Source organism: Homo sapiens, chromosome 17, assembly GCF_000001405.40.
Source record: "Homo sapiens chromosome 17, GRCh38.p14 Primary Assembly".
NCBI classification, from domain to species: Eukaryota; Metazoa; Chordata; class Mammalia; order Primates; family Hominidae; genus Homo; species Homo sapiens.
Genome location: NC_000017.11, coordinates 75,771,081 through 75,792,886, shown reverse-complemented (window position 1 = coordinate 75,792,886; position 21,806 = coordinate 75,771,081). Strand labels below are relative to the sequence as shown.

The following is a 21,806-nucleotide window of genomic DNA, read 5'->3' as shown; positions in this document are numbered from 1 at the left end:
CCCTCTCTATGGTAAGAGGGACTCATATACACTGATTTTTTAATTAACTTTTTAACAATTTGAGATATAATTCAGAGAGCACTCAAACTCACCACTTGTACATTTCAGTGGTTTTTAGTGTATTCACCCACATTATGTAACCTTCACCATATCTAATTCCAGAATATTTCCATCACTCCCAAAATCACCCTGTACCTATTATCCCATGCACTTTCTCCACAGATACCTCTGCTGCCTATGCAGGTATTTTAAGATGACTGGCTGGGGTGAATCTATAGAGTTATCTATATGGTAAGAAAACAAGAAGCTACATTGTCCAGAGGGATAGTAAACCTAAATTCTTGGCATTGTTAGCAATTAGGCTAATGTAATTTTTATATATTGGCTAAGAATGGCAGAGAAACTTACATTCAACATCCATCTTCACATAACAATTAGTGTGACCCAAATTCATCCAAGATGTTAAAAGGGAAGACAATCTACTAGGATTAGCCATAACTGTCCATAGTTGCAATCTCAAAACAGAGAAGATGCATACGGATAGTGGGAAAACCTCCTTTAGTATCAACCATAGCTGGATTAAAAAAAACAAAAACAAAAACAAAAAAACTTAATCATTAAGCAAATATTGCCCAGTGTGGGAAAATAATCACTAGACCAGTCCACTATTTAATGTAATGCAGCTTTAAATGCAACCTTACTGTCATCACTCTTGACCTGGAGTCTCTCCTAATGAGAAAAATTACCTTTAGGTAAAGGTCTGGCAGGAAAGCCTGCAGATGTGTGCTGTGCTGCTCAGGCTGTGGCAGGGCTCTAGTTACCTAAGCGTGCTCATGGCTTCTAAGACACACAGGAAAGAGACCTCACCTTCAGGCATCAGGGTGTTGAAAAGCGGGAGGACGTGTAGGTCCACGAGGGTATCTTGCTTTTGTGCACTTATCTGGGGTGCTATTTGCAGAGAAGGAGCTCCTTTATAGAGTGTGCCCAAGATGGATTTCTCTAAGTTGCTCTCAGAGTTGTCCAGCTGCCCTCACCAATAAGTCACAGTCTTTGTAGGATGATAGAAACCACCAGTCAAAGCAGATGCATATGGGTTGTGGGGAAGCCTTCTTTAGTATCTAACATAGCTGGATTAAAACAAAAAAACTTAACCATTAAGCAAATCTTGACTTTAATAATTTAGATAATAGCAAATATCAACTAGGTGTTAAGTTTAAGAATCTACCCTTAGCAAGGGCACTTAACACTTAACGGGGATTTTGTGGGATTAAATGAAGGCTACAATGAGCTCCTAATTTCTGTCCTGCAAGAAATTAGTTCTACTTGATAAACAAGTAAATAAGATCCAGAAATGTTTATTGGTAATGTAGCTCGTTCTCACTGAGGTTGCTCAGCAACGCTTCCAATGACTTCTGTTGTGCAACAAGTAGTACTCTACTAATGCATGCACGATTTTATTGTAATTTGCAATAATGACTTAAATACATGTTCATGTCCAGGATTTTCCAAAATACAATCAGATGCAATCAAGTGAAGTTAATGACATTTACGTAATACATAAACTGACAAAACTGCCTGAAAAGAGTTATCTATGGAAGTATTGCTACATTATCTTTGTTTAATTCGATGCCCAGGAAACCAGTCCTAAATTTAAATGATGCCTAGATAGATGAAGCTATAAAGTATTTATTCTCTGTCGACCTATAAGAAATCACCAAGTGGCCAGAAAACTCCTGCAAACCTTCACTAAACTAGAATTTCATTTTCCTTTAACATGAGGGCATTAAAATTAAGAAGTCTGAGAACCGACTGCAGTCACTGCAGTTGAAGGCATGAAGACATGATTAGTCTTTGAGGTATACTTCCTCTCATGGGGTCAAAACAATGAGGTCAGAAACTTGGAGAGTTTAATATTTATTTATTTATTTTTATTTTATTATTTTTTTCAAGCCAGAGTCTCGCTCTGTTGCCCAGGCTGGAGTGTAGTAGTGTGATCTCGGCTCACTGCAACCTCCGCAACCTCCGCCTCCTGGGTTCAAGCGATTCTCCTGTCTCAGCCTCCCGAGTAGCTGGGATTACAGGCATGCACCACCACGCCCAGCTAATTTTTGTATTTTTAGTAGAGATGGAGTCTTGCCGTGATGGCCAGGCTGGTCCCGAACTCCTGACCTCAAGTGATCCACTCGCCTCGGCCTCCCAAAGTGTCAAGATTACAGGCGTGAGCCACCACGCCCAGCCAATTATTTATTTATTTTTCAGATAGGGTCTTGCTCTGTCACCCAGGCTGGAGTGCAGTAACACAATCTTGGCTCACTGTAGCCTCTATCTCCTGGGCTCAGGGATCCTCCCACCTCGGCCTCCTGAGTATCCAGGACCACAGATGCACACCACCACACCAGGCTCGTTTTTTTAATTTTTAGTAGAGAGGAGGTCTTGCTATGTTGCCCATGCTGGTCTGGAACTCCTGGGCTCAAGTGATCCTCCTGCCTCAGCTTCCCAACGAGTTGGGACTATAGCTAGCATACCCAGCTGGATATTTCAGATGGTAGTTTTTCTGTGACCTTTCAAGAATAAACTTTTTTTTTCCCTTGAGATGGAGTCTGGCTCTGTTGTCCAGGCTGGAGGGCAGTGGCGAGATCTCGGCTCACTGCAACCCCCGCCTCCTGGGTTCAAGCAATTCTCCTGCCTCAGTGTGTGCCACCACACCCAGCTAATTTTTGTATTTTATTTTTTTGTTTTTGTTTGAGACGGAGTCTAGTCCTGTCACCCAGGCTGGAGTGCAATGGCGCGATCTCGGCTCACTGCAACCTCCGCCTCCCAGGTTCAAATGATTCTCCTGCCTCAGCCTCCTCAGTAGCTGGGATTACAGGCGCCCGCCACCATGCCCAGCTATTTTTTTGTATTTTTAGTAGAGACGGGGGTTTTACCACGTTGGCCAGGCTGGTCTCGAACTCCTGACCTCATGATCCGCCCACCTCAGCCTCCCAAAGTGCTGGGATTACAGATGTGAGCTACTACGCCCTGCTCAGCTATACACTTTCAATAGTATAACTGTTAATACAGCAAAAAGCCAAAAGGTAGCTAAACTTGTAGATACATTTTGAGACGTGATTGCTACAAAAGTTCTCCTCATTCTTAAACGTTTTTATAAAACTCTTCCAATATACAAGACAGTATGTTATAAACAAAGCTGAATTAAATTCATTATTTGTCAAATTAAAAGACAAACTGTCTAGTAAAAGGAGGTCACAGGCCAGGCGCAGTGGTTCATGCCTGTAATCCCAGCACTTTGGGAGGCCGAGACGGGCAGATCACGAGTTCAGGAGATCGAGACCATCCTGGCTAACACAGTGAAACCCCATCTCTACTAAAAATACAAAGAATTAGCTGGGCATGGTGGCGGGCGCCTGTACTCCCAGCTACTGGGGAGGCTGAGGCAGAAGAATGCCGTGAACCCAGGAGGCGGAGCTTGCAGTGAGCCGAGATCGCGCCACTGCACTCCAGCCAAGGGCAACAGAGCGAGACTCGGTCTCAGAAAAAAAAAAAGAGGTCATGTGGTTCTTGTATTGGAAGAATAATAATACATATACATTATCGTTTTACTAAGTGCTAAGCAAATACTTGGAGCTGTACAATAAAGGAACTTCTGACATAACTGTTTTCTAAAAGGACTGGATTCCTAAGTCCAGCACAAGTGCCTGCTACACCAATTTGCTGAAAGGATTATTCCAAAGTTTCCCTTAAAGCAAGATTATTCAAGAGTTTAGAAAAAAAAAATCAACAAAATTATCCTTTAAACTATGTTATGAATAATCCTCTTGGTTTAGGAAAAGGAGGGCTCAAACTCTAAGAACTTTAATTTCAGCACAAGAATGAAGGGCAAGAAAGGGAAACCAATGGCAACATAATTTTTTGCTTTTAGTGTATTCAACTGTGTTTGCCAAGATTACTGTTATGGTGAGTGAGACTCAATTATCACACAAGTGTCTCTGGATTATTGCAAAGACTACAGCATGTTACCTAATTTCAAATAACATCAGGTATAAAACTATACAAAATTAATTAATGTATAAGAAAGTCCAGGTGAGGTGGCTCACACCTTCTCAGGCTCACGCCTTCCCATGCCACTGTACACCAGCCTGGGTGACAGAGCAAGATCCTGTCTCTTGCTCTGTCCAACCAACCTGGGTGACAAAAATAAATTTAAAAAAAAAATTAAAAATAAAAATAAAAGTGGCTGGGCGCGGTGGCTCACACCTGTAATCCCAGCACTTTGGGAGGCCGAGGCGGGCAGATCACGAGGTCAGGAGTTCAAGACCAGCCTGACCAACATGGTGAAACCCCATCTCTACTAAAAATACAACTAAATAAATAAATAAAAGTTTAAAAAGGTAAAAAATTTGACAGGCAGACGGGAACAGTGGCTCACGCCTGTAATCCCAGCAGTTTGGGAGGCCAAGGTGGGCGGATCACGAGGTTAGGAGTTCGAGATCAGCCTGGCCAACACAGTGAAACCCTGTCTCTACTAAAAATACAAAAATTAGCCAGCCATGGTGGCGTGTGCCTGCAGTCCCAGCTACTTAGGAAGCTGAAGCAGGAGAATTGCTTAAACCCGGGAGGTGGAGGTTGCAGTAAACTGAGATCACGCCACTGCACTCCAGCTTGGGCAACAGAGTGAGACTTTGTCTCCAAAAAAAAAAAAAAGAAAAAATTGACAGGCAAAAACTTACAAATATTCAAAAGGGGTCTATCTCTGTATTCAAAATGGGATCAATTATTATCAATGATCAATTATTATTCCACTCCGTATGTCCATGTGTACCCACTGTTTACCTCCCAAGCAGCTCAAATTTTCATTTAAAATCAAAATCAAAATGCTCCCGCCCCCTAACTCCCAAGGGCAATAAATGAATTCACCTTATGGGGGTGGAGGGAAGCAGGTATGGTGGTATGTGCCTGTAGTCCCAGCTACTCAGGAGGCTAAGGCAGGACTGCTTGAGCCCAGGAATTCAAGTCCACCTGGTTAACACAGAGAGATCACGTCTCTCTTTTTTTTTTTTTTTGGACCGAGTCTCACTCTGTCACCCAGGTTGGAGTGCAGTGGCACAATCTCTGCTCACTGCAACCTCTGCCTCCTGGGTTCAAGCGATTCTCCTGCCTCAGCCTCCTGAGTAGCTGGGACTGCAGGTGTGTGCCACCAGGCCTGACTAATTTTTTGTATTTTTAGTAGAGACGGGGTTTCCATGTTGGCCAGGTTGGTCTCGAACTCCTGACCTCAAGTGATCCACCCACCTCAGGCTCCCAAAGTGCTGGGATTACAGGTGTGAGCAACCGCACCCTGCCCATGTCTCTTTTAAGAAGAGGAAAAAAAAAAAAAAAGCTGGGTGTGGTGGCCTCCCAGCACTTTGGGAGGCCAAGGCCCAACAGTAGATTGCTTGCGCCTGCTCGATCACAGGAGTTCGAGACTAGGCTGGGCAACATGGCAAAATCACGTCTCTACAAAAAATACCAAAAAAATGTATCCAGGTGTGCCTGTAGTCCCAGCTACTCAGGAGACTGAGGTGGGAGGATCACTTGAGCCAGGGAGGTCGAGGCTACAGTGAGCTGAGATGGTGACACTGCACTATAGCCTGGATGACAGAGACCCTATCTTAAAAAAAAGAAAAAGAAAAATCAGAGCCAGCAAGTGTGCTGGTTCCATCATATGTGTCCTCATGCTCCCTGCACCTCAGCCCTAGGAGGACTAGGGGATGAAGTTTTCCAGGTCATCACAGCTTCTGAATGCTAGTAAGTCTAGCAAGAAAGACCACTGATTTCTATCTCTGATTTTTGGAAATACAAATATAAAAACACACATACATATGAACAGACAAAGAGATAAGAACACCTACAACCTCCCATCAAGCTTGGCTATTTCACCTACTCCTGTTGATTTCCTAAGACACCTCAAGAGCCAGGTCCCATTACTCTATACTTACCCACAAGGAATGGAAAGGCAGGCTTTTTTTTTGTTTTTGTTTCTGTTTTTTGAGACGGAGTTTTGCTCTTGTCGCTCAGGCTGGAGTGCAGTGGCACGATCTCGGCTCACTGCCACCTCCGCCTCCCGGGTTCAAGCGATTCTCCTGCCTCAGCCTCCTGAGTAGCTGGGATTACAGGCGCCCGCCAGCACACCCAGCTAATTTTTTGTATTTTTAGTAGAGACGGGGTTTTGCCATATTGGGCAGGCTGGTCTCTTCACTCCTGACCTCATGCGATCCGCCTCGGCCTCCCAAAATGCTGTGATTACAGGCGTGAGAGCTACCACGCCCGGCAGGAAAGACAGGTTTTAAACAAATGAGCATCAAGAGGACAAAGACTCAGATACTGACATTTAATCAGCTGTTCACTTGTTTCACCTGTCAATTCCAAAATAAGAAAGCCTTTCTATTACAGATTCCATAGTATGCTCAATGACAACACAACACAGAAACACAAGTTGCTGAAGCCAAGACTCTCGTGACTCAAAATGTGTTTATTTTGCTAAAAACAGTGATCTGAGCAACCAGAGATTATAAAGAAGTTCCAATTACGTGAAGTTTCCAGATTCGAAAATCAAGACTACACCATTCAACTCATCAGTAGTCTTTGAGCTAAGAACATCTCACCAAAATCAATGGAAAGACTGCGAAAGATCTCCAGTAAGAAAGGACCAGGAAAGCAATGTCCATATCAGAAAAGGAATGGTTAACGTGAGTCAGACTGTAGTCAAGAAGCTTAAATGATTTCAGCCAACAACAAAGAATCCCACAAAGAAACCATACACTTCCTATAACCAATGTTCCCCAACCCCAGAACAGTTTCCCAAGGTCTTCTATAACAAGAGTTCCTCCTGACTGGTTTGAGTTCTTTCTACTCCAACAGATGATTCTGTTCTTCGTTCACTGAACAACTTAAGAGCTGTTCAACCCCCCAGGTTCCAAAACCTCTCGCAGCTGGGGATCCTTTTAAACATGCACATCACTCAGGAGCCCATGGGGATGAGAGGCATTCACAGAGCATCAGGGAAAATGGAAAGCAACATTTTGCTTAACAGGAGAAACCGCCCCTTATTCATCTTTCTCCCACATCACCTAACTCTAGGGAATGCTTAACGTGGCTTGAAGGAAATGAAGACAGCGACCTAAAAGCACACAGATGCAAGACTTCCAGGAAGAGGTTTTCCCATCCTGCTGGACTCCTGTAGTGTCAGTATTTGGGGCTCCCTCTAATGCTACATTTCTGCTGAGCCTGCAGACATACTTGGAACCCATCACCTTCGGGCTCCCAGACTCAGGCTCCGCACAGCCCGCGAGGGAAACGGTCATGGGCACGCACGGACACGTTTCCATCTTTGCATGTTTATCTACGTCGACTGTGAATTCAAGCAAGTGTGGCCCTCGTGGACAACCTACGAGCCTTAGGGACACAAAAGGCTTCCTGCGCAAACTGCACGGAATCTCCTGACAGGACTTCACGTTAATCATCATTCATAGGTGGGTTCTGGGGCTGGACCCCACGGAACTCCTCTTGGTTGTGTCTTGGACTTCTCACTGCCCCAAAGGAGCCTACTACTGTGGTTTTATGGTCTGAGGAACAGTTAGGCCTCGAAGGCCTGGCCTAGGGAGAGTGCACTCTGCATCCCGAGCTCCCGCCTTCCCCACTCGGCGGCCGGGACCGAGTTTCCCGCCCCACAGCCCGACCAGAGGTTGGTGGCAGTTGGAGGCAGTTGGGACCGGCCCCAGCAGGTTGGAACCGGTCTGGGCCGGGCCGGAGGAGGAAGGGGGGGAGGAAGAGGCCGCCTCGCGCTCTCCCTGCGCGCGTGACTCACGCTGGCCGCTGACGTCAGGCGTGCGCGCGCGGCGGGGGGGGGGGGGCTCTACGTACGTGTAGTGCTGCGGTTTCTCGGGCTGTGCCTGCAGCACCTGAGCGGTAGCGGCCGGGGGCGCCGAGGAAGCTGCGGAGCCGCCGGGCCCGGGGCCCTTCGACATGGTCTTGTCTTCCTGCCTCTTCGCCGCTCCCCTTTTATTATTCAGTCTGCGCGGTCCGCGCCGAGGACCCAGTGCGCCTGCGCCGCGCCACGAGAACGTGAAGACCCCCCACACGGCAGCAGGGGTTGCTGGGAGTTGTGGTTCTATGTCCGGCTGGAATTTTACCGTCGGCAGAGGGTTGCTGGCAAAGCACAGGACCACAATACCCAGGGATCCTTGCTGCTAGTGTCCCGGATGCTGAGGGCCTGCGACGGCTTCTGGGAATTGCAGTCCGGTCGCATTTCTCCTTCTTACCAGCGCGTTTTCAGTTTCATAGGGAAGCCTTTCCATGAAACTGGAGCGCCTGGAGGAGAAGGGGCCCAGAGCTAGGGAGGCCCTAGCGATTTCTGCGAAAGAGTTCCAAGTATAATTTCACTGCCAACAGTGTCATAACTACTTTGCCTTTATACTTAGTACAGCTAGGTTCGGTTCTAATGCCAGCTCAGAGCAGTGCTCCAAGCAGGGCTTAAGAATCTGTGTTGTCGGTTCTTAGTTCTGGGCCCTGTGCTGCAGGCACCTGCAATCCGCCAGCAACCCCTTCATCCCTGCGGCGGGTCTAACCTAAGAGGCATTGAGAAAGCTTTGCTAAGGAGGAGGTACACCGCACGCTACAGTTCCCGCGCCTTTGCCGAGGCGCTTCATTTACCTTTGCCAAACTCGACACCTGGAACTCCACGACTTGTGTGCTTTCTCAGCCTGACACCTGGCCTGACCAACTTGTTTCCAGTACATTAAGGGCCAAGGACGAATTTAATCTCCGCCTAGAATAGTCTCTGAGGTACACTGACAAGTTGCCAGTGTTGAGAAGCATCACAGGGTCCAGAGGAAAGGCCTGGGTTTGAGTAGGGCGTGCCCGTATTTATCCACTCTAGTTTTCTTGTCTGGACGTCAGCCTTTTTACTTGGGACATTATCTTTCCCCTCTCTGCTTCCCACCAGTCAAGCAAAGTTCTTCACTTTATAAAATAAGCCAGATGCCCCAGACCTAGGCATTTGTTTCTGTGAGTTTTAGAATGTTCTCCGTAGATATTTTAACCGTTGTCATTTAATTTGGTTTTTCATATTGAATCTATTTCAAATCCACTGGTTTTGATTTATATTTTCTTAGATGGGATTATATTAACAAATGATTATCTCATTAAAGAAACACATTCCAAATAACCTTAGGGATGAAGGGTGGTGGGGCTAATGGAAAATCGTTAATGTTTGAGTGACACATACTTATTTTATTTAGCTCCAAGTTCCCTCACATCAGAAGCCACATCACAGAGTTGAGAAACTGGTTTTTCCTAAACAGGCTAAATCGTTTAGCCACTAGGGGCGTTTGAAAATGAAAAATTACAAAAGGACAAATAAAAGTTGTAGTATATTGCTTTAATCCTATGATTAAACGCAAGTTACTTGGTTTATGTTAGCCTCACAATACTCAAGTGTGATCTGACTGAAGAAATAGAGTTCACAGCACTGGATTTTAAATAATAGATGTATATCATGAGCTTCAGAATAAGTGTGTACTGGTGGAGTTGGGAGATGATATCATCCAAACTGCTTAATTTACAAAAGAGGAAACCGAAACCCAGAGAAGCTAAGTAACTTGCACAAAGTTACTCAGCAAGTTGGTAACAAGAGGAACTAGGACAGTAGCCTACAAGACTACATCACATTCACTGTTGGGTTTTGTTTGTTTTGTTTTCTTCTGCTTTTTTTCATTGTATAAACATTTTTTATTCTTCCTCATTTCCTGTGTTGCTTTTCCTCCGTTGTACCAATCTGGAAAAAGTGAAACATACCTGCATGACTACGAAGTAAGAGAGACAGCCTTTTTTTTTTTTTTTTTTTTTTTTTTTTGAGGCAGAGTCTTGCTCTGTTGCCCAGGCTGGAGTGCAGTGGTGTGATTTCGGCTCACTGCAACCTCTGCCTCCCAGGTTCAAGCAATTCTCCTGCCTCAGCCTCCTGAGTAGCTGGGATTACAGGTGTGTGCCACCACGCCCACCTGATTTTTGTAGTTTTAGTAGAGACGTGGTTTCACCATGTTGGTCAGGCTGGTCTCGAACTCCTGACCTCACGATCCACCCTCCTCAGCCTCCCAAGAGCTGGGATTACAGGCGTGAGCCACTGCGCCCGGACTCCTGTTTCCACGAATCATACTTAAATGGATAAATGTATATCCATACCTTTTTTCTCCGGGTGGCTTTAGTTTCTAATAATCAGCAAAGCTGGAAAGAAAATGACTGTCCATCCACACAAAGGCATGGAAATGACAGGATTCTGTATAACCTAGAAAAATCGTGAAACACAGCAGGGAGTGGTGGCTGAAGCCTGTAATCCCAGCACTTTGGGAGGCCGAGGTGGGCGGATCACAAGGTCAGGAGATCGAGACCATCTTGGCTAACATGGTGAAACCCTTGTCTCTACTAAAAATACAAAAAAATTAGCCAGGCGTGGTGGCGGGCGCCTGTAGTCCCAGCTACTCAGGAGGCTGAGGCAGGAGAATGGTGTGAACCTGGGAGGCGGAGCTTGCAGTGAGCCGAGATGGCGCCACTGCACTCCAGTCTAGGCGACAGAGCAAGACTCCATCTCAAAAAAAAAAAAAAAAAAAAAAATCGTGGAACACAAAGTGGGGGACCAATTTAGAAAGCCTATTCCTCTTCTAGGCCAAAGTCAAAAAAAAAAAAAAAAAAAAGATGACAAGTTATTTTTCTGTTTGCATCCCAGAGAATTTGACAGCCTCATATGTGTGTCTAAACAGTCCCCTGTTTCTTAACTTGACACAGGTTTGAGAATAAAGCATGAGAATCCACCTAGGTTTCTCTTCTCAGCATGGCATTAATAAAATCATGTAATTTTTCCCTACCTCAAATTTTGAGTCAAAGGCAGAAATCAAAGTTGGTTATCACAGTAAATTTAGGTATATGATGATTAAATACATAATGTGCACGTTAAGATTAAGAAGGCTGGCTGAGCGCGGTGGCTCACGCCTGTAATCCCAGCACTTTGGGAGGCGAGAGGCAGGCGGACCACGAGGTCCAGAGATCGAGACCATCTTGGCCAACATGGGAAACCCTGTCTCTACTAAAATACAAAAAATTAGCCGGGCATGGTGGCGCATGCCTACAATCCCAGCTACTTGGGAGGCTGAGGCAGGGGAATCGCTTGAACCCAGGAAGTGGAGGTTGCATGGAGCTGAGATCGCGCCACTGCACTCCAGCCTGGCAGCAGAGCAAGAGTCCGTCTCAAAAAAAAAAAAAAAAAAATTAAGAAGGCTGAAATAATAACAGGAATTTGATACCAGAGATTGAGATGAAGCTGAGCTAGTTTTTCAAAGTGTGCATTTTTTTCTCATTGTTTGATACTTGACCACTGGTGTGACAAGTCAATATTGAGGTATTTGTACTTACGTACTGTAATTCTCTGAAGGTCAGGCATGGTGGCTCATGCCTGTAATCCTAGCACTTTGGGAGGCTGGGGCAGAAGGATTGCTTGAGTCCAGGAGGTCAAAACTGCAGTGAGCCGTGGTCACTGCACCACTGCACTCTAGCATGGGTGACTGGGCAAGACCCCACTTCAAAAAAAAAAAAAATTACCGGCCAGGGGCGGTGGCCCATGCCTGTAATCCCAGCACTTTGGGAGGCCAAGGCGGGTGGATCACAAGGTCAGGAGATCAAGACCATCTTGGCTAACACGGTGAAACCCCGTCTCTACTAAAAATACAAAAAAATTAGCCGGGCGTGGTGGCAGGCGCCTGTAGTCCCAGCTACTCGGAGGCTGAGTCAGGAGAATGGTGTGAACCCAGGAGGCGGAGCTTGCAGTGAGCTGAGATCGTGCCACTGCACACCAGCCTGGGCGACAGAGTCAGACTCCGTCTCAAAAAAAAAAATTAATTTAGTTGAAACCTATGCATACCTGTATCTGCTACTTTTTCTTTTAATAGTTTAGAATATTTGCTGGACCAGCATCAGAACTATAGAGTAGAATGCCCAAGGCTCTATTTCAATTTTCTGGGCTTTGCTTGGCTAGTCTTAACCTTAAGCCTGCTATGGTATTTTATATACTTGAGGCAACTGAAGAACTGACTATTACAATCTACCCAAGACATTTACTTAGGCAAAGGTAGGGATTAGCATATTTACACATTTGTCATGTTTCTTCAGAAGTAATACCTGCCAGGATATGCTATTAAACAAAAGGGCACATATCTAGTTTAGTTATCTTTTGTTTATTCTTTATGGACATGCAAATACTATAGTAGGACTATTTACTTTCTAGCTGTAGTCATTTCATTCACTTGAAGTACATAATTCAAGTAACATGTTGCTTAGTAAGTTACCTCTTGTTTAAGCATATGGAAATCAAAAAATATTTTGTGACACCTTAAAAACATACAAAACAGTTCCTCTAAAATAATTTATTAACATGTTTATTTGTATTTATTATTTACCCCTTCCCACCCCACCAAGAGACCTGCTTTTTGTTAAAAATGTATGTGCATGATATATGAAATACTTGATAATATAACATGATTTACTGAATTCTAATTCTCACACTACGCACTTAACTATCAAAATATTATGAAAGGTAAATAATCCAGGGAACACATTTTATTTTACATCGGAAAATATTTACAAAAATTTTGTTAAAGTAGCCTCTCTGGGTGCATAGCATTCGCTTGATGCCTGTGAGTTTAGACTCCTGCTCATTCTGATAGAGACCAATGCAATTCATTTGCATTGACTTTCTATTGCAGAGCTTTGGAACCAAGGGAAGGATCCAAACATAGCTCCATTTTATCCAATCAGAAGGGCCGCTTAGTGCTAAACTCTGATTCGTCCATTCCTCTTTGCATCCATCCAATCATTAGGCCACTTTAACAGCCAATCAGCGGCGTAGATATGCACCAATCATGGAACAGTGCCGAAGCACGGCCTTTGTGTCGGGGGATGTCAGCGCGTCGGCGAAAGCGCCCACCAATAGAAAAAGTCGTTGGTGTATGCAAATAAGGGTTCTATGACGCAGAGACGCAGCGTGAAGCGTGCCTATAAAAACGGAGGCGACGCGGGGGCTTGGAGCGCAGAGCGGTTTGGTCGTTCGTTGGGCGGTGCTGGTTTTTCGCTCGTCGACTGCGGCTCTTCCTCGGGCAGCGGAAGCGGCGCGGCGGTCGGAGAAGTGGCCTAAAACTTCGGCGTTGGGTAGGCGTTCGTAGGTTTACCCGCGGCTTCAGGTTCTGCCAACCGTTGGCGCCGCGCGCCGCGGCCGTTGGGAGCCGAGCGGCGGGGGCTGCTCGGGCCGCTGGCGTCGGGTCGGGTATGGGGCCGGGAGGTTTCCCCTTGGGGCTTTGTTCCGGAACTGTGTCCCCGCCTTTTCCCGGCGGTGATTCAGAGGTCCCGACGCCGGGTTCCGGGCAGTCGGGCCTCCGCCCGTCGAGGAAGGGAAGTGACTCCTCCCCGCGCTCCCCCTCCCGGGGGAGGCTGCCGCTCCTCGCAGCCTGAGTCATTAGGGGAGGGGGAGGAGGTTGGCGGCCCTCGGCCATCTGCTGCCGCGAGGTGGGGCGCGGGGAGGCGGGAGGCCCGGCGGTGGGGCCAGGATCTGTTCCTCCCCCCGCAGCCCTGGGGGGCGGCCCGGGTGAGCGCGGCGGCCTTATCTTCGGGGCGTCTTTCTTAGGTGAAAGAAAATGGCCCGAACCAAGCAGACTGCTCGTAAGTCCACCGGTGGGAAAGCCCCCCGCAAACAGCTGGCCACGAAAGCCGCCAGGAAAAGCGCTCCCTCTACCGGCGGGGTGAAGAAGCCTCATCGCTACAGGTAGGTCGGGCGGGGGAACAATGGCCCGGCGGTGGCCGGCTTTGTGCGGCAGCGTCCGCTCACTCCTCCCCTGCTCGCTGCAGGCCCGGGACCGTGGCGCTTCGAGAGATTCGTCGTTATCAGAAGTCGACCGAGCTGCTCATCCGGAAGCTGCCCTTCCAGAGGTTGGTGAGGGAGATCGCGCAGGATTTCAAAACCGACCTGAGGTTTCAGAGCGCAGCCATCGGTGCGCTGCAGGTAAGACAAAGGCCTGGAGCCGGGGGAGGGCTGGGCGGTTTCCGCTCCCCGAGTGGGATTAATAGTGCGGCTCTCGTCCTCAACAGGAGGCTAGCGAAGCGTACCTGGTGGGTCTGTTCGAAGATACCAACCTGTGTGCCATCCACGCTAAGAGAGTCACCATCATGCCCAAAGACATCCAGTTGGCTCGCCGGATACGGGGAGAGAGAGCTTAAGTGAAGGCAGTTTTTATGGCGTTTTGTAGTAAATTCTGTAAAATACTTTGGTTTAATTTGTGACTTTTTTTGTAAGAAATTGTTTATAATATGTTGCATTTGTACTTAAGTCATTCCATCTTTCACTCAGGATGAATGCGAAAAGTGACTGTTCACAGACCTCAGTGATGTGAGCACTGTTGCTCAGGAGTGACAAGTTGCTAATATGCAGAAGGGATGGGTGATACTTCTTGCTTCTCATGATGCATGTTTCTGTATGTTAATGACTTGTTGGGTAGCTATTAAGGTACTAGAGTTGATAAATGTGTACAGGGTCCTTTTGCAATAAAACTGGTTATGACTTGATCCAAGTGTTTAACAATTGGGGCTGTTAAGTCTGACCATACATCACTGTGATAGAATGTGGGCTTTTTCAAGGGTGAAGATACAAGTCTTAACCACAGTGTAACTTACAGTTTCCTTTAAAAAAAAAAAAAGTAAACCTGGCAGCTATAGAATACACTATGTGCATTTATAATAGCTATTTTATATATTGTAGTATCAACATTTTTAAATTAAATGTTTTACATTCACAAGTGGTGGGGAGTCTTGTCATTAAGGTGTGTGTAATTTAGAGTCCAGTTGGTTTTCTTCTGACTGCACTTGTTCTCATAGTAGTAAAATGCTATGCGCATTTATACCTTGCATAAGTCCTCATTCTACCACATGTTAACCCTCTAGCTGATAATGCAAACACTAACTGGGGGATTTTATTTATAAGGGCTCTAGAAAAAACGAGTTATTCACACCAGCATCATCTTAACTAACATTCTGAACTAGTTAGTGCAGCTTTTCATTGTGTTGTGTGGTTGGTCTCATAACTAGGTTGAGTTTTTCTCCTCTGCTGAGGAAACAGTACCGAAGTTCTTTTTCTTGTGGCATTTGTATTATAAAAACTTGGTGTGGGGGAGGAGCACAAAACTCCAGCCCACTGAACCTCTGCCAATTAAGATGGTGTTGGGTTAGGTTACATCTGGTTACTGTCCTGGGAAAATCATTTTTATAGAGATGGCCTTCCAAGTGGTTTTAAAATTTACTGAAGTTTTTAGGTCAATTATGTATGTTGACTAAATTTACAAATAAACTTGTTTATCCAACTAAGTGTCCAAAACCTAAATTGAATGTACTAAGTTTTCACATGTCCCATTATCTAGGTCCTTGTATACTAATGTTTTGAACTTAGATCATTTCAGGTGTTGTTTGGTGGATAAAGGAACCTTTTATTTATAAAGATACTGTAGAAAGCATGTGAACAGCTCTCTGCTTGATTAAGATGCCATAATAGTGCTGTATTTGCAGTGTGGGCTAAGACAAAGTATATTAATAAGCTTTTCAGCCCCCCCACTCCCGTTCCGTAGTGTAGAAGCCCACAGGTGTAGAACTCAGTCTTAAACTTCAGTATGAAACCAGTTTCCTTGTGCGATGATGGCCACTAAAGCATAGTACGTGGATGTCAGTGAGACAGCATGAGAGCCAGCAGTCATCAAAGCGTTCCACGTTTGAAGTTAGCAACTGCTTAAAGTTATACCCCATTAAAATTGCTTTCTCAAAAGTTTGGGTTAGTTTCAAATGTGATATTTTGGAGGGAAGGTAAAGTAGGTATCTTTCAGGTCGTGATAATGAGCTCCTATGAAAGGATGCAATATAATGACCCGCTTTTCTAGAAAGTTCATAATCAGCTCTGGAACAAGCACACTTGATTCCTCACTGTGCTTCAGAATGAGATTAAGATCAGATGTTGGAACGTGCTATGCTGTAGCGTGTCTGGAAACAAAGTACACAAACCTGGCTACGGTGATGAGTTAGCTTCTGCTTACTACCTGTGACAACCCAAGTGGGTGACACTAGTGAACCTTCTCCAGTCTGCAGGCTGGCATAGAAGGCTCTTAGATTATATTGGGCAGCTTGCAATCTGCCGAAGCAGTGACTTGCATTTCCACACTTGGCTTGAGCACTCAACCCAGAAGGCGAAGATAGCTTTTGGTTGTAGGCGGCTTCCTGTATGGGATATCCCTCGGTAAGGGTAAAGGAGCAGAGGCAAAGGAGAAAAGCAGAAGTTGCAGCTGATGCAGGTATCCTATGCCCTTGATGGATGAGACTAAAATAAAATTTTTGAAGTTAAGATTTTCTCATTTCTCAATGGTTTTCATTCAAATGATAATGTCTTTCAAAAAGTTTGGGGCAATGTCCAAAAAGCACTGACTTCTGATTCATCTGGGGCTGGGACGTGCGCATTCAATAATAAGGAAGCTCCCTATTGAGGTGACCTCAGTGACAGTTGGCCCAGGACAGTGCCAGTCTGTGCCTGCTGAAGTGGTGTATTTATTTATTTTGAGACGGAGTCTTGCTCTGTCACCAGGCTGGAGTACAGTGGCGCGATCTTGGCTCACTGCAACCCCCGCCTCTCAGGTTCCAGTGATTCTCCTGCCTCAGCCTCCTGAGTTGCTGGGACTACAGGCAAACACCACCATGCCCAGCTAATTTTTGTATTTTTAGTAGAGACGGGGTTTCACCATGTTGGCCAGGATGGTCTCCATCTCTTGACCTCGTCATCTGCCCACCTCGGCCTCCCAAAGTGCTGGGATTACAGGTGTGAGCCACTGCGCCCAGCTGGTGTATTTACTTTTTAGAGACGGGGTCTCCATATGTTGCCCAGGTTGGTCTCAAACTCGAGCTCCCAAAGTGCTAGGATTACAGGCTTGAAGTGTATTTAATAGTGCCTGTGTTTACTGTTCTCTGTCCCAATTTGGCAAATTATGCGGTCGTTCTACCTACCCATACCATGGTGATGTGAGGTGGGGACCCAGTGACTTATTTGTATAGGGACATGTCTCAGGAAAATAAGGTCAAATTGCTTACCCACCAATATTCTAATTATACCACCTTCAATCTGAAAACGGGACATAATTTGTCCCTTAAACTTCAATCATCTGATCCACATAGCAGTCAGTTTTGAGATGAAGCAGGGTTGTTTTACCCAGAACCAGGGGTCCACAGTGTAACTGCAGAATAAGGAAAAGGAAGGGTGAAGAGGAAGACGGGAGAAATGAAGGGCAACGGGTGTTCCCTCACTAAGAGTGGACCCAGCTCCTGACCTGCAACTTCATCATGAACAAGTGGTCTTCCAGCCACCTTCTTGAGGACACAGGCTAAGGGCTTCAGGACAAGTGGAGTGGCTTGGGTTTCAGAATTTCTGGGAGCCAGAGTCCTGTCAGGACCTTGGATACTTTTAGCACCTGGTCCACTGGTCCTGGCCTAGGGACCATCAGCCAAAGGGAAGGAGAAGAGGCCCTGAGCTGACTGCCTGGACTGGAAATTAACAGTTTCCAACTCATCGATTCACTGGATGATTCCCCAACAGTGGTGTCTGCTGCTCAGCTCCCCCTGCCTGGCTCCTTGCAAGCACTGTCTGGTGTCAGGTGTCAGGGTGGGGTCTTGCAGCCCTGGGAAAGCAATCCCTTTCTCCTGAATCACCTTCAGGTAGGTCAGTAGAGGGAGGAACACTGCGGAACACGGTCAGCTGTCTGCAATTCAATCAGCAGGAAACAAGGGCTTGCCCTATGGTTTCTGCAAGATGGCCCCAGCCTGTGTTCAGATTCAGAGACTGAGGCCTATGGCCAGTCTAGCCCGCCATAGAGAAGTGCCAGGTGGGTAGTTTTCACCCCTTCTGCAGTTGTCTTACAGGGGGTGCTGTGGTCCACTGGGCACGAGTTCTTTGAGCCCCTATCCTGGACATTCTCTCCTCATCCCTTGGAGCAGGAGCATTTTAATCATCTTGCCAAAGGAATCGCAGTCCACCTCTCTCAGCCCCACCCCAGGCACTGATCAGTCCCATTGAGGCTAAGCTGGCTGCACCTTGCCCGGGCCCTCACAGCCTCTTCCTTCCCTCACCCCTATGGTGCTCCTGCCTGCCCCTGTGGGCATTTCTCAGGGAGATGCCCTGATCACAAGGATGTCACCAGCCTGGACCACTCTTATCAAGCTGGGCCTGCTTCTGACCAGCAACTGCTGCATGAAAGCTGGCCTTCCAGCATCCTCCTCCAAGGTAAGGCTAGAAGAAGGGGAGAAGGGGTAGGCCCCTGTTGGGTTGCCAACCCAAATTCTACAGTACCCTCAGAAGACTAAGGATGCCCTCTTCTTGGGCCGGGTGGCTGGCCTTTTCCCTCCCTGATCCCTTTGTCAGCAGGTCTGGGGAATGAGGGAGGCTGCAGGCCGAGGTGGGTGCAGCTGAGACAGCCCTGTGTTTACGCACAGAGGAGTTTGCACAAGGCCTCTATTGCGAGGGGCTGTGGTGTGAGAAGGGGCTGGAGAATATTATCCTCCCCTTGGGGACTCCTACTCCCTGTGGTCCTGCTGACGGCCCAGCAATCCCTGGCTATCAGTGATCCCACCAGACACTGTCTCCCTCCAAGCAGAGTCACAGGATTTCTCTGGGATGCGCCCCACCATGTTCTGGTGTCTTCACCTGAGCACTATGCCCGGTGGCCAGCAGGGGCCAATCTTGCAGGTCAAGCACACCTGGGAGCAGCGCTTCTTAGCCGTCTCCCGAGCAGAGGTCTCTCCACTCGAGCCCAGCCCACCTCCTACCTCATGACCCGTCCCCCATGGAGAAAGCTAAGAGGCCCTACAGTCACCCCCCACTGGAAAAGCAAGAAGTGGGGGCTTCAGTGGGGCTGTAGCTCCTGGAGGGGCGGTAAGGCCATGCGTGATCTGGAAAAGGGTGCAGAGAGAGGGACGTGGTGAGGCAGCCAGGGTCTGGGGCCTTCTCGCTGGCAGCTGCGAGCTCTCATCAGGAAGCTGCAGTTCTGGGGATACACACAGTGGGATGGAGGGTGGGCAGAAAGGGAGAAGTTCATCTCAGACGTCACCAGTACCAGGGACAAGAGGGCTCCAGGGAAGGAGAGGGAGATGGGCTGCAGGCTTAGGGCAGGTGGCCTTTGCTGAGGGGTGTGTGAGGGATTGTGCCTGTCCTCATGGAGGTGGAACCTGGGCTCCGTTAAATCCCTATTCACGTACCACCTCCTACGTTGGCCACATTTTTCCCCATAAGCTCCTCTCTGCCAGGCACTGAGCCAGGGGGCCAAGCAGAGGGGTCAGGAGGGGCTTGGGTCCACAGCCCAGGCATCACGGCCCTCACAGGGCTCTCCCTCCCCAGCTCCGCACCTGCAGCTAGTCTCAATCCATCTGCCCACCACCAGCGGTCTGAGGCCTGGGCAGCTGCAGTGCCAGCAGCTTTCCAGCCAGTGTGAGGCGCAAGATGAGACAGCCTCGGCCCTGAGCTGTCAGCTGCATCTTGTAGGTCTGGACATGCTCCTTGGCCAGCAGCAGGGTGGTTGTCAACCTAGAGGGCAGGAACTTCAGGGACAGAGTAGGGGCAGCAAATAAAGACAAGACTTGCAGCTGGGTTATCTGAGCAGGGGCATCTGAGACCGCAGGGAGACGAGAAGCTCCTGGCGCTCCGAAGGCAGGGAATGAGTGTGTCTGCCCCTGGAATCACACCTGACACATAGCAGAAGTTCCAGGAGTGACTGCTGACCAAACCAAATGGCCCCAGCAGCCCCCAAGCACAGCTGGCTGGATCTGCTCCCAGCATGGGTGGCAAAGAATCAGTCTGGTTCCCAAAAGCTTTGGTTACTGGCCTGGCTTCCAAACCGAGAGTGTTTCACATAGGAACTGAGTCTGAGAGAGCAGCTGCCCCTCCTGTCCATCACCAAGAGGCTGAGCTTTAACTCTTGACACTTTCGTAAGCAGAGGCCAGTAGAGCAGAGGCTGCAGCAGTCCAGGAAACAGTAGTGGCTGAGAAAATGGGCTCAGGGGCCAGGAGAGGTGGCGCATGCCTGTAATCCCAACATTTTGGGAGGCTGAGGCGGGTGGATCACTTGAGGCCAGGAGTTTGAGACCAGGCTGGCCAGCATGGCAAAACCCCATCTCTACTAAAAACACAAAAATTAGCCAGGTGTGGTGGTGCATGCCTGTTATCCCAGCTACTCGGGAGGCTGAGAGAGGAGAATCGCTTGAACCCGGGAGGCGGAGGTTGAAGTGAGCCGAGATCACGCCACTGCACTCCAGCCTGGGCAACAGAGTGAGACTCCATTTCAAAAAAAAAAAAAAAAAAAAAGACGCTGGTAGTAAACAAGCTGTGCTGCCCCGCAGGTGCATCTTGGTGAGATATCAGCCCTGAGGTCTGGGCTGACCATGGGCTCAATATTATTATCAATATTCCAGACACTGTTATCATGAATATTATAGAAGGGCAAAGGGAGCCCAGATCAGGAAATAGGTTAACCCTCTAGAAGAAACAATAAAAGGAATCTCCCAGAATGGGTAAGGTAGTGAGCCATCTGCTGGGAGCAAGATGTCAGTCTCTGAAAACACCGGGAGCCACGGACCTAAGTCCATCAGGGAATCAGGCTGTGACTGCAACATAGAAGCCAGGGCTGCGTCAAGTGTATCGTCCCGTGAAACATAAACAAAGGCCAAGTTGAGCAAGGAGGGCCCAAGGATTTGGTTTTTGTGTAGAAGACAGACACGGACTCCCGTGGAGAAGAGGCATTTTGGAGTGCCTGTCCTCAGTGGTAGGTCACATCTTTCCGCGGCCTAGACAAACATTGTTAGAGCCAGGTGCAGTGGCTTTCCCATGTAATCTCAGCAACTTGGGAGGCTGAGATGGGAGGATTGCTTCAGCTCAGGAGTTGAAGGCTTCAGTGGGCTGTGATGGTGACACTGCACGCCAGCCTGGGTGACACAGCAAGACCCTGACTGAAAAAAAAACAAAAAACAAAAAAACCCACCTCTAAGCCTGTCTAGGTCACCAGACACCTGGCTGGCACGCATGGTATTCCCACCACTGGCTAGTATGTCCCAGTGGTGGATATAACCCAGAATTCTCTCCAGACGCCTCAGCCCTACGTGATAATCAGCAAGATACAAGCAAGTTTCTCAGCCAGCATAGCAGAGGACAAAGCTCAGGGTGAAGTGTTTCCATTACCATGCCACCTCCCCGCTAATCCTGAGACATCTGGCCAGGAAATGGGGGGAGGGTCAAAGGTCAAAGGAGACTTCACTCTGAACAAATTTCAGTAACACACTAGATGGGATTCAAAAAAGACAGTAAACACATTTCCCAAATAAAATCAATGTTTCAGAGTCCATCTTGAACAAACGGACATGCTTCGCCTTATGCCAACTTTTTTTTCTTTTTTGAGACGAAGTTTCACTCTGCAGCCCAGGCTGGAGTGCAGTGGTGCCATCTCGGCTCACTGCAACCTCTGCCTCCCAGATTCAAGTGATTGTTCTGCCTCGTTCTCCTGAGTAGCTGAGATTACAGGCGCACGCCACCATGCCTGGCCTATTTTTTGTATTTTTAGTAGAGATGGAGTTTCACCATGTTGGTCAGGCTGGTCTCGAACTCCTGACCTCAGGTGATCCACCTGCCTTGGCCTCCCAAAGTGCTGGCATTACAAGTGTGAGCCACT

General features: G+C 47.6%; 2 protein-coding genes and 1 non-coding gene across 12 annotated transcripts in view, besides 13 other annotated features; 2 read left to right on the top strand and 1 right to left on the bottom strand.

Annotated features, from left to right (window-relative positions):
• The window catches only part of UNK (unk zinc finger), a 40,994-nt gene extending 32,913 nt beyond the window's left edge, over positions 1–8,081 (bottom strand). For 3 of the 10 annotated variants that reach the window (XM_011525400.2, NM_001080419.3, XM_047436964.1), the window contains exon 1: positions 7,903–8,081. Coding sequence is in view for 4 of the 10 variants with exons in the window: in NM_001080419.3 (NP_001073888.2) it covers positions 7,903–8,006 (104 nt within the window). In the remaining 6 variants the exon portion in view is untranslated. Of the gene's footprint in view, positions 1–408; positions 2,101–5,978 lie in introns of those variants that run through there. The other 7 variants (XM_047436963.1, XM_047436966.1, NR_038131.2 and 4 more) reach the window with 6 other exon arrangements.
• Positions 6,831–7,408: an enhancer, noted in NCBI's record as "NANOG-H3K27ac-H3K4me1 hESC enhancer chr17:73781560-73782137 (GRCh37/hg19 assembly coordinates)". NCBI's record gives its function as "activates a minimal SCP1, AML or CMV promoter by ChIP-STARR-seq in naive H9 embryonic stem cells {active_cell/tissue: H9 hESC(naive)}" and the evidence as "EXISTENCE:reporter gene assay evidence [ECO:0000049][PMID:30033119]".
• Positions 7,409–7,987: an enhancer, noted in NCBI's record as "NANOG-H3K27ac-H3K4me1 hESC enhancer chr17:73780981-73781559 (GRCh37/hg19 assembly coordinates)". NCBI's record gives its function as "activates a minimal SCP1, AML or CMV promoter by ChIP-STARR-seq in naive H9 embryonic stem cells {active_cell/tissue: H9 hESC(naive)}" and the evidence as "EXISTENCE:reporter gene assay evidence [ECO:0000049][PMID:30033119]".
• Positions 7,409–8,019: a biological region, named in NCBI's record as "NANOG-H3K27ac-H3K4me1 hESC enhancer GRCh37_chr17:73780981-73781559".
• Positions 7,420–7,819: an enhancer, noted in NCBI's record as "active region_12778". NCBI's record gives its function as "activates an Ori minimal core promoter by ATAC-STARR-seq in GM12878 lymphoblastoid cells {active_cell/tissue: GM12878}" and the evidence as "EXISTENCE:reporter gene assay evidence [ECO:0000049][PMID:35858748]".
• Positions 7,880–8,019: a silencer, noted in NCBI's record as "silent region_8985". NCBI's record gives its function as "represses an Ori minimal core promoter by ATAC-STARR-seq in GM12878 lymphoblastoid cells {active_cell/tissue: GM12878}" and the evidence as "EXISTENCE:reporter gene assay evidence [ECO:0000049][PMID:35858748]".
• Positions 8,280–8,366, top strand: MIR4738 (microRNA 4738). The gene has a single exon (NR_039892.1). It is a non-coding gene; the product is annotated as a microRNA 4738 (primary transcript).
• Positions 9,550–9,729: an enhancer, noted in NCBI's record as "active region_12777". NCBI's record gives its function as "activates an Ori minimal core promoter by ATAC-STARR-seq in GM12878 lymphoblastoid cells {active_cell/tissue: GM12878}" and the evidence as "EXISTENCE:reporter gene assay evidence [ECO:0000049][PMID:35858748]".
• Positions 13,108–16,453, top strand: H3-3B (H3.3 histone B). Its single transcript, NM_005324.5, has 4 exons — positions 13,108–13,230; positions 13,703–13,840; positions 13,924–14,077; positions 14,164–16,453. The coding sequence occupies exons 2-4, from the start codon at positions 13,713–13,715 to the stop codon at positions 14,290–14,292; spliced, it is 411 nt and encodes a 136-aa protein (NP_005315.1). The 5' UTR covers positions 13,108–13,230; positions 13,703–13,712; the 3' UTR covers positions 14,293–16,453.
• Positions 13,416–14,020: an enhancer, noted in NCBI's record as "NANOG-H3K27ac-H3K4me1 hESC enhancer chr17:73774948-73775552 (GRCh37/hg19 assembly coordinates)". NCBI's record gives its function as "activates a minimal SCP1, AML or CMV promoter by ChIP-STARR-seq in naive and primed H9 embryonic stem cells {active_cell/tissue: H9 hESC(naive and primed)}" and the evidence as "EXISTENCE:reporter gene assay evidence [ECO:0000049][PMID:30033119]".
• Positions 13,518–13,787: a silencer, noted in NCBI's record as "silent region_8984". NCBI's record gives its function as "represses an Ori minimal core promoter by ATAC-STARR-seq in GM12878 lymphoblastoid cells {active_cell/tissue: GM12878}" and the evidence as "EXISTENCE:reporter gene assay evidence [ECO:0000049][PMID:35858748]".
• Positions 16,299–16,388: an enhancer, noted in NCBI's record as "active region_12776". NCBI's record gives its function as "activates an Ori minimal core promoter by ATAC-STARR-seq in GM12878 lymphoblastoid cells {active_cell/tissue: GM12878}" and the evidence as "EXISTENCE:reporter gene assay evidence [ECO:0000049][PMID:35858748]".
• Positions 16,719–16,768: a silencer, noted in NCBI's record as "silent region_8983". NCBI's record gives its function as "represses an Ori minimal core promoter by ATAC-STARR-seq in GM12878 lymphoblastoid cells {active_cell/tissue: GM12878}" and the evidence as "EXISTENCE:reporter gene assay evidence [ECO:0000049][PMID:35858748]".
• Positions 17,699–17,758: a silencer, noted in NCBI's record as "silent region_8982". NCBI's record gives its function as "represses an Ori minimal core promoter by ATAC-STARR-seq in GM12878 lymphoblastoid cells {active_cell/tissue: GM12878}" and the evidence as "EXISTENCE:reporter gene assay evidence [ECO:0000049][PMID:35858748]".
• Positions 17,859–17,908: a silencer, noted in NCBI's record as "silent region_8981". NCBI's record gives its function as "represses an Ori minimal core promoter by ATAC-STARR-seq in GM12878 lymphoblastoid cells {active_cell/tissue: GM12878}" and the evidence as "EXISTENCE:reporter gene assay evidence [ECO:0000049][PMID:35858748]".
• Positions 18,597–19,097: an enhancer, noted in NCBI's record as "H3K4me1 hESC enhancer chr17:73769871-73770371 (GRCh37/hg19 assembly coordinates)". NCBI's record gives its function as "activates a minimal SCP1, AML or CMV promoter by ChIP-STARR-seq in primed H9 embryonic stem cells {active_cell/tissue: H9 hESC(primed)}" and the evidence as "EXISTENCE:reporter gene assay evidence [ECO:0000049][PMID:30033119]".